Raw genomic sequence first — 15,035 nt, forward strand, 5'->3', positions numbered from 1 at the left:
TAACGACTATGTAAAACGTATGCTGAGTTCTATCAAAACCTTTATCAAAACGTTGTGCTAGTGGTGGGCATTGTGGCTTTAAAAAATGTTGACTCTGCTTAATAATGATATATGTTGATAAAATGCCAACTTTTTATTGGGAACTATGACATGGAAATATTTTCAAGAAATATGGCTGGGATGGCTGGGTGTGGTGGTTCACACCTATAATCCCAGAACTTTAGAGGCTGAGGTGGGAGGATCACTTGAAGCCAAGAGTTCTAGTCCAGCCTAGCCGACATGGTGAACTTAGTATTTAGTATTTTATTGTATTTTATTTATTTTTGAGACAAAGTCTCGCTCTGTTGCCTAGGCTGGAGTGCAGTGACACAATTTCAGCTCACTGCAACCTCCACCTCCCAGGTTCAAGTGATTCTCCTGCCTCAGCCTCCCTAGTAGCTAGAACTACAGGCTTTTGCCACCACACCTGGCTAATTTTTATATTTTTAGTAGAGATGGGGTTTCACCATGTTGGCCAGGCTGGTCTCTAATTCCTAACCTCAGGTGTTCCACCCACCTCAGCCTCCCAAAGTGCTGGGATTACAAGTGTGAGCCACTGGGCCCGGCCAGTATTTAGTATTTAGACACTACTAAAAAAAGAAAAAAATTAACTGGCAGTTGTAGCACATGCCTGTAATTCCAGTTACTCTGAACGCTGAGCCACAAGAATTGTTTGAACCCAGGAGGCAGAGGTTGCAATGAGCCAAGACGGCACCACTGCACTACAGCCTGGGTGACAGAATGAGACTCTGTTTAAAAATAAAAAGAAAAGAAGTATTTCCAGGAAATATTAAATTAGGCCAGGCATGGTGGCAGGTGTCTGTAGTCCCAGCTACTAGAGAGGCTGAGGCAGGAGGATCACTTGAGCCCAGAGTTCGAGGCTGCAGTGAGCCGTGATTGCAACACTGCACTCCAGCCTGGGTGACAGAGGGAGACGCTGTCTCAAAAAAATACAAAAACAAACAAAAAAGAAATACTAGATCAAAAAAACAACAACACGGTGGCTCATGCCTGTTATCTCAGCACTTTAGGAGGCTGAGGTGGGAAGATCACTGAGTCCAGGAGTTTGAGACCAACCGGGGCAATGCAGTGAGACCTTGCATCTACGAAAAACAAAAATAGCTGAGTGTGGTGGCGTGTGCCTATAGTCCCAGATACTTGAGAGGCTGAGGTGAGAGGAAAACACAATTTAAAACACACACAAACACACACACACAACCACCACCACCTAGTTTATAGGAATCCATTTTTGCAAAAATGCTACAACAAAATGACACATATGTATGTATATATGTATATGTACCTATACGGAAAAGTTACAGGAAAGAATCTACGAAACTAGTCAGGTCAGAGTATCCTATCTGGTAGCGAAGCCAGCTGAGACAAGAGGAACTTTCAGTTTGAGGCTATATATTTATGTATCACTTGTTTGTTTGTTTGTTTGTTTTGAGAGGGAGTTTCGCTCCTGTTGCCTAGACTGGAGTGCAATAGCACTATCTCACCTCACCGCAACCTCTGCCTCCCAGGTTCAAGCGATTCTCCAGCCTCAGCCTCCCGAGTAGCTGGGATTACAGGCATGCACCGCCACACCTGGCTAATTTTGTATTTTTAGTAGAGACGGGGTTTCTCCATGTGGTCAGGCTGGTCTCGAACTCCCGACCTCAGGTGATCTGCCCACCTTGGCTTCTCAAAGTGCTGGGGTTACAGGTGTGAGCCACTGTGCCCAGCCATTTATGTATCATTTCAGTATTTTACAAGAATGTACCAATATACTGTTTATATAACATAATGCATGCAAAGTGTTTTAACAACAACGACAAAAAGCAAAACCCAATCCCAAAACTGTACATTCTTGCAAAAGTAATGTTCTTTTTTTTTTTTCTTTTGAGACAGGGTGTTTGTCTGTCACCCAGGGTGGAGTGCAGTGACACAAACATGACTCACTGTAGCCTCGACCTCCTGGGCTCAATCAATTCTCCCACCTCAACCTCCTGAGTAGGTGGAACGACAGGCACATGCCACCAGCCACCACACCCTGCTAATATTTTTTATATTTTGTGGAGACAAGGTCCCACTATGTTGCCCAGGCTGTTCTGAAACTCCTGGGCTCAAGCAGTCCTCCTGTCTTGGCTTCCTAAAGTGCTGGGATTACAGGTGTGAGCTACCTCACCCAGCCATAAGTGGAAGTTCTTTTACATTCACATAATGTACTTCATTTTTCACAGCCTAATTACAATCATCCTTTTCTTTAACCCAGAAAGACAGAGAGAAAAGATAGCAGCTGAAGTTGCCAAAAGCTAGACTCGGACATCACCAAGCATCTAGAAAGATGGAAGATTATGAAATAATGCTTTAATAAACATAAAAGCGCTATACCACAAAGCACATGTTCTTCTACAAAGAAAATACATCCGGTCACTATAGTTCACCCTTGAACAACATGGCTTTGAACTGCAAGGGTCCACTTATTCGCAGATTTTTTTCAGTAAAAGTTATACGAAGTGTGCCTGCTTTTCCTGCCTCACCTCCATCTCCACTTCTTTCACCTCTACTCCCCCTGGGACAGCAAGACCAACCCCTCCTCTTCCTCCTCCTCCTTCACATTGAGCTTACTCAATGGAAAGACGACGAGGATGATCCTTATAATGAGCAGTAAATATATTTTGTCTTCCATAGGATTTCTTAGTAACATTTTCTTTTCTCCAGCTTACTTTAAGAATATAGCATATATATATAATATACAAAAATGTGTTTTAATAGACTGTTCACATTATCAGTAAGGCTTCCTGTCAACAGTAGGCTGTTAGCAAATTTTTTGGAGAGTCAAAAATTATATGCAGCCCGGGCACGATGGTTCATGCCTGTAGTCCCAGCACTTTGGGAAGCCAAGGCAGGAGGATCACTTGAGCCTAGGTGTTTAAGACCAGCCTCAGCAACATGGCAAAACCCTATCTCTACAAAAAATGCAAAAATTAGCCAGGCATAGTGGCACACACATATAGTTCCAGCTACTAAAGAGGGTGAGATGGGAAAATTGCTTACAGAAGGTCAAGCCTGCAGTAAGCAGTGATCATGCCACCACACTCCAGCCTGAGCAACAGAGTGAGACCGTCTCAAAAAGAGAAAAAAAAAAAAGAGAGAGAGAGATAAAAGTTATATGCATATTTTCAACTGCACAGGGGATCAGTGCCACTAGCCCTCATATTGTTCAAGAGTCAACTATATATATTTATTTGAGGGACTGCTGTTAGAATCTGCGTCACCTCTGTCACTTTATGCATTCACCCATTTATATTTACTGAGCACTTGCTATGTGCCAGGCAACCTTATTCTATGAGACTCATTTGGAGTTTTACAGAGTTAAGTTAGGCAAGTGGTAAAGCTAAGGATTTGTATTTCCAGAAATTTTTATTCTGAATGATACAGAAAAGGGCTTTTTGGTGATGTCTTTAAATTTTTATTTTTTTATTTAAATAAAATTTAAATGTCTTTAAATTTTTATTTAAAGACATCATCAAAAAGCCCTTTTCTGTATCATTCAGATTCTAGTGTGTGGGTCTGCTATATGCTTATTGCCTTTTATTGTAACTATATTCTTGGGGATCAGGTTGCCCTGCCATATTCTGACTTCCTTGAAGGAAAAACGTAAACCTTTTTGTGGTGCCTGTGTCACAGCTTGTGTTTGCAATACAGCAGGCATATGTTCATTCATTCATTCAGTCTACAAATACTTATTTCACACCCACTGTAAGCCAAGCATTGTACTAGGCCCCTGGGATAGAGGCCATGAATGATAGAGTTTACTTTCCAGTTGAGGGTTGGGGTGGATAGATCACACACACAGAAAAATGTAAGCAAGAGAATTTCAGATTGGAACAAACTATGTAGGAAACCAACTGAATTAGAGATGGGAAGATAGTTACTTAGATTTGGTGGTTGGGGAAAAGCTCTTAGATGAAATTTAGGCTGGGCGCTGTGGCTCACGCCTATAATCCCAGCACTTTGGGAGGCCGAGACGGGCAGATCACTTGAGGCAAGGAGTTTGAGACCAGCCTGGGCAACATGGGGAAACCCCATCTCTATTAAAAATACAAAAAACATTAGCCGGGCGTGGTGGTGTGCGCCTGTAGTCCCAGCTACTCGGGAGGCTGAGGCAGAGAATCGCTTGAACTCATGAGGAGGAGGTTGCAGTGAGCTGAGATCACGCCACTGCATTCCAGTCTGGGTGACAGAGCAAGACTCTGTCCCAAAAATAAATAAGTAAAATTAAAAATTTAAATTAAAAAAAAAAAGAAATTTAAACTAGAAACCAAAAGATGAGAAAGGGGAAGCTTTATACCAACAGTCTTAGAGAAGTATTCTGAAGAGAGGAAATGGCCTGAAAAGGGGCTGGAATCAGAAAGAACATGGGCTGTTCTAGAAGCAGAAACATCAGTGTGGCTGAAACAGAGAATAAGGAGTGGTTGGTGAGGTCAGCAGACTTTCAGTTCAATGGCAAGCTATGGAAAGGTTTTAAATAAGAGTAATTGAATCCAGTTAATGATTTAAGAAAGAAAAAAACGACAGGTGCGGTGGCTCACGCCTGTAATCCCAGCACTTTGGGAGGCCTAAGCAGGCGGATCACGAGGTCAGGAGTTCGAGACCAGCCTGGCCAACATAGTGAAACACCATCTCTACTAAAAATACAAAAATTATCTGGGCAGGCATGGAGGTGTGTGCCTGTAGTCACAGCTATTTGGGGGGCTGAGGCAGGAGAATCACTTGAACCTGGGAGGCGAGGTTGAAGTGAGCCGAGATCGTGCCACTGCACTCCAGCCTGAGTGATGACAGAGCAAGACTCCGTCTCAAAAAAAAAAAGAAAAAGAAAAAAAGAAAAAGGAAATACTGGAAATACTTAGGCTACTGTGTGAGGAGAATGAACTACCAGGAGAGCAAAAGTGGACTAGGTGGCTACCAATTAGGAAGCCATTTCTTGGATGGATGCATGGACAGATGGATGGAAGGAAGGAAGGAAAGAGAGAAGGGAGGAAAGACAGAAACAGATGAATGAGAGATAAAAATAACTCTGATTACAGGTTGGGGCCGGTGGCTCACGCCTGTAATCCCAGCACTTTGGGAAGCCAAGGCGAGTGGATCACTTCAGTTTAGGAGTTCAAGACAAGCCTGGCCAACATGGTAAACCCTGTCTTTACAAAAAATACCAAAATTAGTCAGGCGTGGTGGCAAGCACCTGTAGTCTCAGCTACTTAGGAGGCTGAGGCTGGAGAATTGCTTGAGCCCAAGAGGTGGGGGTTGCAGTAAGCCATGATCAAGCCCCTGCACTCCAGCCTGAGTGACAGAGCGAGATCTTGCCTCAAAAAATAAAAATAACTCTGATTACAAAAGAGCAAGCCTCATGAGACTCACTTGACCTAGATTTTTTAGCTTAAACTGGTTTTTAAGTCAAATTTCAAAAAGCAAAACCAAATTATTTTTAGTGAACGAACATGCTGGAATTAAAATGTGGTTTTCTAAAATGATTGCCTTGAAACAGATGGTATATATTTAGCTATACACTTGCTAGCATATTGGTTTGAAATATATATTATTGTTTTATAGTCATAATACTTCCACCAGCATCATAACCTTTGACAAAGCAATTCTGTATCTAGACCTCTATACCTTGAAAATACACAAATGCATGTAAGTTTTTGTATAAAGGATGTTCCTTAGAGCCTTATTTGAAACAGAGAAAGAAAATAAATATATTTCAATAGGGAAATGATTTAATAGAACATACATGTTTATTCTACTCAATACTATGTAGCTATCTAAATAAAAGGTATTCTCCCAAATATTCTGACATGGACTAATAGCCTTCTACAAATGGTTAAAAAAAAAAAAAAAAGTAAGTTACAACCTGTATCTGTTTGTGTGTATGTGTGTGTATGAGAGACAGACTGGGCATCGTGGCTCACTGTGACTCATGCCTGTAATCCAGCACTTTGTTATTTTTGGAGGTTCTTGTTTTGGTTTGGTTTTTTAACTTCTACCCAAAAGCTACTATGCAATCTCAGCATTTTAAGAGGCTGAGGTGGGAGGATTGCTTGAGCCCCGGAGTCAAAGGCCATCCTAAGCAACATAGTGAGACCCCCATCTCTATTTTTAAAAAACAGGGCCAGGTGCAGTGACTCACGCCTGTAATACCAGAACCTTAGGAAGCCGAGGTGGGAGGATCACTTGAGGTCAGGAGTTTGAGACCAGCCTGGCCAACATGTTGAAACCCTGTCCCTGCTAAAAATACAAAAATTAGCCAGGTGTGATGGTGGGCGCCTATAATTCCAGCTACTCAGGAGGCTGAGACAGGAGAATCGCTTGAACCTGGGAGGCAAAGTTTGCAGTGAGCCAAGATTGCACCATTGCACTCCAGCCTGGGCAACAGAGTGAGACTCTGTCTCAAAAAATAATAATAATAAAATAAATAAATAAATGAGAGAGAGAGAGAGAGAGTGAGAATAGAGAATGGTGCAGAACTGTGCTGTCTAATACTGTAGCCACTAGCCACACGTAGCTACTGAGCACTTAAAATGCAGCTAGTCAGAACTGAGATGTGCTTTAAATGTAAAGTGCACACTGAATTTTTACTGAATTCTGAAAATTTACAATGAAAGAACATAAACTCTCTCCCCCATTTTCTTTTTTGAGACAGGGTCTTCCTGTGTCACCAAGGCTGGAGTGCAATGGCGTGATCTTGGCTCACTACAGCCTTGACCTCCCAGGCTCAAGCAATCCTCCTACCTCTCAGCCTCTCAGGTAGCTGAAACTAGAGGCACACATCACCATACCAAGCTAATTTTTGCATTTTTATAGAGATGCGGTTTTGCCATGTTACCCAGGCTGGTCTCAAACTCCTGGACTCAGGTGGTCTGCCCATCTCAGGCTCCCAAAGTGCTGGGATCACAGGTGTGCACCATCACGCACAGCCCTCATTAATTATTTTTATCTTTATTCCATATTGAAATAATAGTTTAGATGAATGGAGTTAAATAAAATATATTCTTAAAATTAATTTCATGGCCGGGCATGGTGGCTCATGCCTGTAATCCCAGCACTTTGGGAGGTCTAGGCAGGCGGATCACCAGGTCAGAAGTTTGAGACCACCCTGACCAATATGGTGAACTCTCATCTCTACTAAAAATACAAAAATTAGCTGGGCATGGGGTGGCGCGTGCCTGTTATCCCAGCTACTCAGGAGCCTGAGGCAGGAGAATCACTTGAACCCGGGAGGCGGAGGATGCAGTGAGCCAAATCCCACCACTACACTCCAGCCTGGGTGATAAAGCAAGACTCTGTCTCAAAAAACAAAAAAAATTAAAATTAAATAATAATAATAATAATATGCACATTTAAACAGATGAGCTCATACCACCACCACCACATGTGAATAGTTTAAATAGCCTTTTTTTTTTCAGTCTCACTGCTCTCTTTGTAAAAAGAGTCACACCTTAAGCAAAAGAAATTGGAATGTTAATTCACGAGAGATTCATGACTATGAGTAGGTGAGTTGCTTGGAATAACCTTTGTAAATGCAGTCTATATGGCTGAGAAAAAGATACAGAGGCTCTATTAGGTTGGTGCAAAAGTTATTACGGTTTTCGCCATTACTTTCGATGGCAAAAACTGCAGTAATTTTTGCACCAACCTAATAGAAGCCTAAAATTAACATCTGATTGATATTCTCCCTTGCACAGCTTTTCCACTGAAAATCAAGCAAAATCCAAGCCCTCCTAAAACTTAAGAACCTCCCAGCCTACTGGGTAGCTGCCTCTCTCCTCTGCCCCACTTTCCAACTGAGTTCCAGAAAATGATGATAGAAAATCTTGCAAGTGACTACTCTAGGGCATCTCTAATTATCTCTAGAAGCATCCAGACTTTTTCAGTAGAAATCAGGACACAAAATTAATTTGTGTTCAGTTTAATTTTTTTAAATCAATAAATTATCATTGGAAGTAGACAGGAGGGCCCTTTGAACTTCAAAATATATTTTGAGATGGTGGAAATGTTTTATATCTTGCTTGGGGTAGTATTTACATAGGTGTATATTTGTGGAATTTTTTTATTTTATTTATTTTATTTTTATTTTTTATTTTTTTTGAGATGAAGTCTCACTTTTGTCCCCCAGGCTGGAGTGCAATGGTACAATCTCGGCTCACTGCAACCTCTGCCTCCCAAGTTCAAGCAGTTCTCCTGCCTCAGCCTCCCTAGTAGCTGGGATTACAGGCACCTGTCACCACGCCTGGCTAATTTTTGTATTTTTAGTAGAGACTGAGTTTCACCATATAGGCCAGGCTGGTCTCGAACTCCTAACCTCAGGTGATCTGCCTGCTTTGGCCTCCCAAAGTGCTGGGATTGCAGGCGTGAGCCACCATGCCTGGACTATTTGCGGAATTTAAATTGTCTGCTTAAAATGAGAGCATTTTGGCCAGGCGTGGTGGCTCATGCCTGTAATCCCAGCACTTTGGGAGGCCAAGGTGGGCAGATCACTTGAGGCCAGGAGTTTGAGACCAACCTGGTCAACATGGCAAAACCCTGTCTATACTAAAATACAAAAAATTCACCGGGCATGACGGTGCGTGCCTGTAATCCCAGCTACTGGGGAGGCTGAGGCACGAGATTAGCTTGAGCCTGGGAGGCAGAAGTTGCAGTGAGCAAGATGGCGCCACTGCACTCTAGCCTTGGAGACAGAGGGAAAAATCTGTCTCAAAGAAAAAAGAAAAAAAGAGAGCATTTTAATGCATTTAAATTGTTCCTGTTTAAAAATTTATCCACATGATGGCAGAATGAAAAATAATAATAAAAATAAAAATTCAGGCCAGGCGCAGTGGCTCACTCCTGTAATCCCAGCACTTTAGGAGGCCAAGGCGGGCGGATCACGAGGTCAGGAGATCGAGACCATCCTGGCTAACACGGTGAAACCCCGTCTCTACTAAAAACACAAAAATTTAGCCGGGCAAGGTGGCGGGTGCCTGTAGTCCCAGCTACTCGGGAGGCTGAGGCAGGAGAATAGCATGAACCCAGGAGGCGGAGCTTGCAGTGAGCCGAGATCACGCCACTGCATTCCAGCCTGGGCGACAGAGTGAGACTCTGTCTCAAAAAAAAAAAAAAAAAAAAAAAAAAATTCAATAAGTGATTTCCATATATACATTCTCTCATAACATTAAAAAAGGAAAAAAACAATTTTCATTTACATAAATTGACTTGATGTTATCTGAATCAATTAATGAGCAATTGACCTGCTTGGAATTTCTGCCTTGGGAATTCTAAATCTAGAAGTGATGGGCAGATAAAACACAGTAGACTTTACTTTTTTTCAGTCTAAAAAAGATCAGGGACTCTCCCCCTTTTCAGAGCCTGTGGGCTTTCTGTGGGCAGCTCTGGAAGAAAAATCCTAAGGCATTTCTAAGAGCAAACCACACATTCAATTTTATTGCATTTTTTTATTTTAATTTTATATGAAGTTTTATGCTTCAAATATATAAAACACACACACACACACCAAGGGACTAAGATGTTATTTCACAGCACTTGCTTGCCTCAGTCTTTATGAAGAACACAATTCCAAACTAATGGACAAGTTCCTCCCTGTACTCTAGGTCATTCAAAGGAGGCAAGCTCCTTTGTCAAATCAGGAGCTCCATCAGCTGATCAGGAGCTCAGATGCCAGCGTGGGAGTTTCTTAGTGGGATCTAGTATTGCTAGAAAAGCCTTGCTTATGCAGCAAAAGACAGGCACATGGGCCTCTTCCCTTAGAATGTATCTGTCTCACATGCTTGGGAACTGCTGTGCAGGAACACCTGGTGTGGCCTGAGGCAGTGTATATACGTGGCTCCCCAACATTGGTCTATGTTGCACTGTTTTTAATTTTTTTTTTTTTTTTGAGACAGAGTTTTGCTCTTGTCCCCAGGTTGGAGTGCGATGGCACGATCTTGGCTCACTGCAGCCTCTGCCTCCCGGGTTCAAGCAATTCTGCTGCCTCAGGCTCCCAAGTAGCTGGGATTACAGGTGCCCGCCACCGTGCCTGGCTAATTTTTGTATTTTTAATAGAGACGGGGTTTCATCATGTTGGCCAGGCTGGTCTCAAACTCCTGGCCTCAGGTGATCCACCCGCCTCGACCTCCCAAAGTGCTGAGATTACAGGCATGAGCCACCTCGCCCAGCTGTTTTTAATTCTCTAAGTTATCATTTGCCATCTCCTTGGCCCTTTGTAGTAATTCCCCTCCCTTTTTTGTTTTTCTGTGTCCATCTTTCCCATTCCAAATACTTGATGTAAAGGGAGATTCCACCTTGAAAACCAGAGTTCCAGTCCTGGCTTGCTGCTACACTCTACTGCTGACCTTGATCTTGACCTTGACCTTGTCTGCATTTATTTCTTTGATGAGGAGGGCAGACAGAAAAACATTGCTATAGTGCTTAATTTTTTTTTATTACAAAAGAAAATGAAGAAAATAATTCAAACTATAGCAGAAACATGAAAAAGGGAAAAGTGAGTCTTCACTATTTGTCTCCTTCAGTAACCATATTTATTTGGGTATATTCTTGCATGTTTTTACGGCAAAAACAAATTCAACAGATATATATATATACTATTATGGAACCCTTTTTATTTTCCTTTGAACTTAACTACGTAGCATTCTCTGATAAGTAATGTAAGCTCCAGACAGCAAGGATTTTTGACTGCTTCATTCACTGCTATATTTCTGGAGACTAGAATACTGTTTGGCATAAAGTAGGTGCCAACAAATATTCACTGAACGCACCAGACGTGGTGGCTCACGGCTGTAATCCTAGCACTTTGGGAGGCCAAGACGAGCAGATCACTTGAGGCCAGGAGTTCAAGACCAGCCTGACCAACATGGTGAAACCCCGTCTCTATTAAAAATACAAAAATTAGCCAGGTATGGGGGCGCATACCTGTAATTCCAGCTACTCCAGTGAGTATCTGGACAGGGGAATCGCTTAAACCTAGGAGGCGAAGGCTGCAATGAGCCAAGATTGCACCACTGCACTCCAGCCTGAGCAACAGAGTGAGACTCTGTCTCAAAAAAAAAAAACTTAAAAATTAAAAAAAAAAAAAAAAACAGAAGGGGACCAAATATACACATCCCTGGCTCCATGGAACTCCCAGTTGACCTGACGGAAAAAAAAAAAAAGAAGAAGTAGTATATATACATATATATAGGTAGTATATAAATATATATATAGTAGTATATAAATATATAGTAGTATATAAATATATATATAGTAGTATATAAATATATAGTAGTATATAAATATATATATTAGTAGTATATAAATATATATATATTTTTTTTTTTTTTTCACTGAATGAATGAAAGGACACAAATCCTCCTTGCTGTCAGATCAACTAGGAGTTGAATGGAATGGAGCCGGGAATGTGTCTATTTGGTCCCCTTCTGTGGTCCCAGCACCAAACAAAGTGCCTGGCACACAGTAAGCATTTAATAAGTATTTGTTGATTTAGCAAAAAAGCTTAATGATAAAACCACCTAATTCTTTTTACTTGCACCAGTGTATTGACATAACACTGTAATCAACAATTCCCTTATTCATTGTAAAAATCTCCGCAAACACCATTGCAATGATCAGCCTTGTACACATACCCTTATTTAAAGATTTTGGTAGGATAAGAATGTCTTTTGAGGGGGACCATTGATCTGCTTCAAATGTGTCGTGAAGTTTCTTCTCACTAGGATTTCATGGCATTAAGACACTTATGGGCTGGGCACGATAACCCAACGCCTGTAATCCCAGAACTTTGGGAGGCCGAGGCGAGTGGATCACCTGAGGTCAGGAGTTCGAGACCAGCCTGGTCAATATGGCAAAACCTCATCTCTACTAAAAATACAAAAAATTAGCCGAGTGTGGTGATGTGCACCTGTAATCCCAGCTATTTGGGAGGCTTTGGTAGGAGAATCACTTGAACTCAGGAGGTGGAGGTTGCAGTGAGCCAAGATTGTACCAATGCACTCCACCCTGGGCGACAGAGCAAGACTCTATGTCAAAAAATTTAAAAAGACAGTTCAGATTAATTTTTTAGCCTGTATGAGAGCTGTTCCCTACAATTAATTTTGCAAAATGATCTCCCTTACGTATCTGCCTACAGAATGTCAGTCTGTCCCGAAACTATCTAGATGCAGCCCAATGCTCTAATTCACACGAGACTGTCAGAAAGACTTCTAGAAACAAGCAGGCTGGCGACAGCCTTGCTGGCCAACATCTTCTGCATGCAACACAATCACAGCTTAGTCATCACCTGGGGAGGACCAGTTTTTAGGCAGTGATAGGCCCATATTGTTAATTCATTCCGATGTGCTGAGGATGGCTCAGCAGAAAGAAGGAAATAGACAAAAGAGTAAGACCCCAACAAAGGCCTGAGCTGAACAATGTTGAGAAACAAAGGCCACTTTGGCCTGGATAAGAGTTAATATGGGGCTGGGCACAGTGGGTCACACCTGTAATCCCAGCAATGTGGGAGGTCGAGGCGGTCAGATCACACAGTCAGGAGCTTAAGACCAGCCTGGCCAACATAGTGAAACCCCGTCTCTACTAAAAATACAAAAATTAGCTGGGTGTGGTGGTGCATGCCTGTAGTCCCAGCTACTTGGGAGGCTGAGGCAGGAGAATCGCTTGAACCCAGGATGCACAGGTTGTGATGAGCCGAGATTGTGCCACTGCACTCCAGCCTGGGCAACAGAGTGAGACTCTGTCTCAAAACAAACAAACAAACAAAAGAGTGAATATGGGAGCTTCTGGGTATTTGTGAGTTCCCTAAGAAGTGAACTTGCAGAGTCACACTCTCTCTGAGCTGTCTAATGGAAGTCTTCCAGAAAGCTACCTTTCTGATTATTTAAGTTTTTCACTCCAAAAATATTTAGTCCGGGCACGGTGGCTCACGCCTCAAATCCCAGCACTTTGGGAAGTCGAGGCAGGGGGGATTGCTTGAGCCCAGGAGATTGAGACCAGCCTAGCCAACATGGTGAAACCTTGTCTCTACTAAAACTATGCAAATTAGCTTGGCATGGTGGTGCATGGCTATAGTCCCAGCTACTGGGGAGGCTGAGGCAGAAGAGTGAATTGTGCCCAGGAGGTCAAGGCTGCAGTGAGTGAAGATCATGCCACTGCACTCCAGCCTGGGCGACAGAGTGAGATTCTTTTATTATTATTATTATTATTATTATTATTATTATTATTATTATTATTATACTTTAAGTTTTAGGGTACATGTGCACAGTGTGCCTGTTAGTTACATATGTATACATGTGCCATGCTGGTGTGCTGCACCCATTAACTCGTCATTTAGCATTAGGTATATCTCCTAATGCTATCCCTCCCCCCTTCCCCCACCCCACAACAGTCCCCAGAGTATGATGTTCCCCTTCCTATGTCCATGTGTTCTCATTGTTCAATTCCCATCTATGAGTGAGAACATGCGGTGTTTGGGTTTTTGTCCTTGCAATAGTTTACTGAGAATGATGATTTCCAATTTCATCCATGTCCCTACAAAGGACATGAACTCATCATTTCTTATGGCTGCATAGTATTCCATGGTGTATATGTGCCACATTTTCTTAATCCGGTCTATCATTGTCAGACATTTGGGTTGGTTCCAAGTCTTTGCTATTGTGAATAGTGCCACAATAAACATACGTGTGCATGTGCCTTTATAGCAGCATGATTTATAGTCCTTTGGGTATATACCCAGTAATGGGATGGTGGGGTCAAATGGTATTTCTAGTTCTAGATCCCTGAGGAATTGCCACACTGACTTCCACAAAGGTTGAACTACTTTACAGTCCCACCAACAGTGTAAAAGTGTTCCTATTTCTCCACATCCTCTCCAGCACCTGTTGTTTCCTGACTTTTTAATGATTGCCATTCTAACTGGTGTGAGATGGTATCTCATTGTGGTTTTGATTTGCATTTCTCTGATGGCCAGTGATGATGAGCATTTTCTAATGTGTCTTTTGGCTGCATAAATGTCCTCTTTTGAGAAGTGTCTGTTCATATCCTTTGCCTACTTTTTGATGGGGTTGTTTGTTTTTTTCTTGTAAATTTGTTTGAGTTCAAACAGAGCCAAATCATGAGTGAACTCCCATTCACAATTGCTTCAAAGAGAATAAAATACCTAGGAATCCAACTTACAAGGGACGTAAAGGACCTCTTCAAGGAGAACTACAAACCACTGCTCAATGAAATAAAAGAGGATACAAACAAATGGAAGAACATTCCATGCTCATGGGTAGGAAGAATCAATATGGTGAAAATGGCCATACTGCCCAAGGTAATTTATAGATTCAATGCCATCCCCATCAAGCTACCAATGACTTTCTTCACAGAATTGGAAAAAACTACTTTAAAGTTCATATGGAACCAAAAAAGAGCCCGCATCACCAAGTCAATCCTAAGCCAAAAGAACAAAGCTGGAGGCATCACGCTACCTGACTTCAAACTATACTACAAGTCTACAGTAATCAAAACAGCATGGTACTGGTACCAAAACAGAGATATAGATCAATGGAACAGAACAGAGCCCTCAGAAATAATGCCGCATATCTACAACTATCTGATCTTTGACAAACCTGAGAAAAACAAGCAATGGGGAAAGGATTCCCTATTTAATAAATGGTGCTGGGAAAACTGGCTAGCCATATGTAGAAAGCTGAAACTGGATCCCTTCCTTACACCTTATACAAAAATTAATTCAAGATGGATTAAAGACTTAAACGTTAGACCTAAAACCCTAAAAACCCTAGAAGAAAACCTAGACATTACCATTCAGGACATAGGCATGGGCAAGGACTTCATGTCTAAAACACCAAAAGCAATGGCCACAAAAGCCAAAATTGACAAATGGGATCTAATTAAACTAAAGAGCTTCTGCACAGCAAAAGAAACTACCATCAGAGTGAACAGGCAACCTATAAAATGGGAGAAAA

At 41.9% G+C, this 15,035-nt stretch overlaps 1 annotated feature.

The window, feature by feature from the left end:
• Nucleotides 1,470-2,669: an enhancer, noted in NCBI's record as "CDK7 strongly-dependent group 2 enhancer chr5:156499176-156500375 (GRCh37/hg19 assembly coordinates)". NCBI's record gives its function as "activates an origin of replication core promoter dependent on BRD2, BRD4, P300/CBP, MED14 and CDK7 cofactors, with strong dependence on CDK7, by STARR-seq in HCT116 cells {active_cell/tissue: HCT116}" and the evidence as "EXISTENCE:reporter gene assay evidence [ECO:0000049][PMID:35650434]".

The sequence above is a fragment of the Homo sapiens genome, chromosome 5 (assembly GCF_000001405.40).
Source record: "Homo sapiens chromosome 5, GRCh38.p14 Primary Assembly".
NCBI classification, from domain to species: Eukaryota; Metazoa; Chordata; class Mammalia; order Primates; family Hominidae; genus Homo; species Homo sapiens.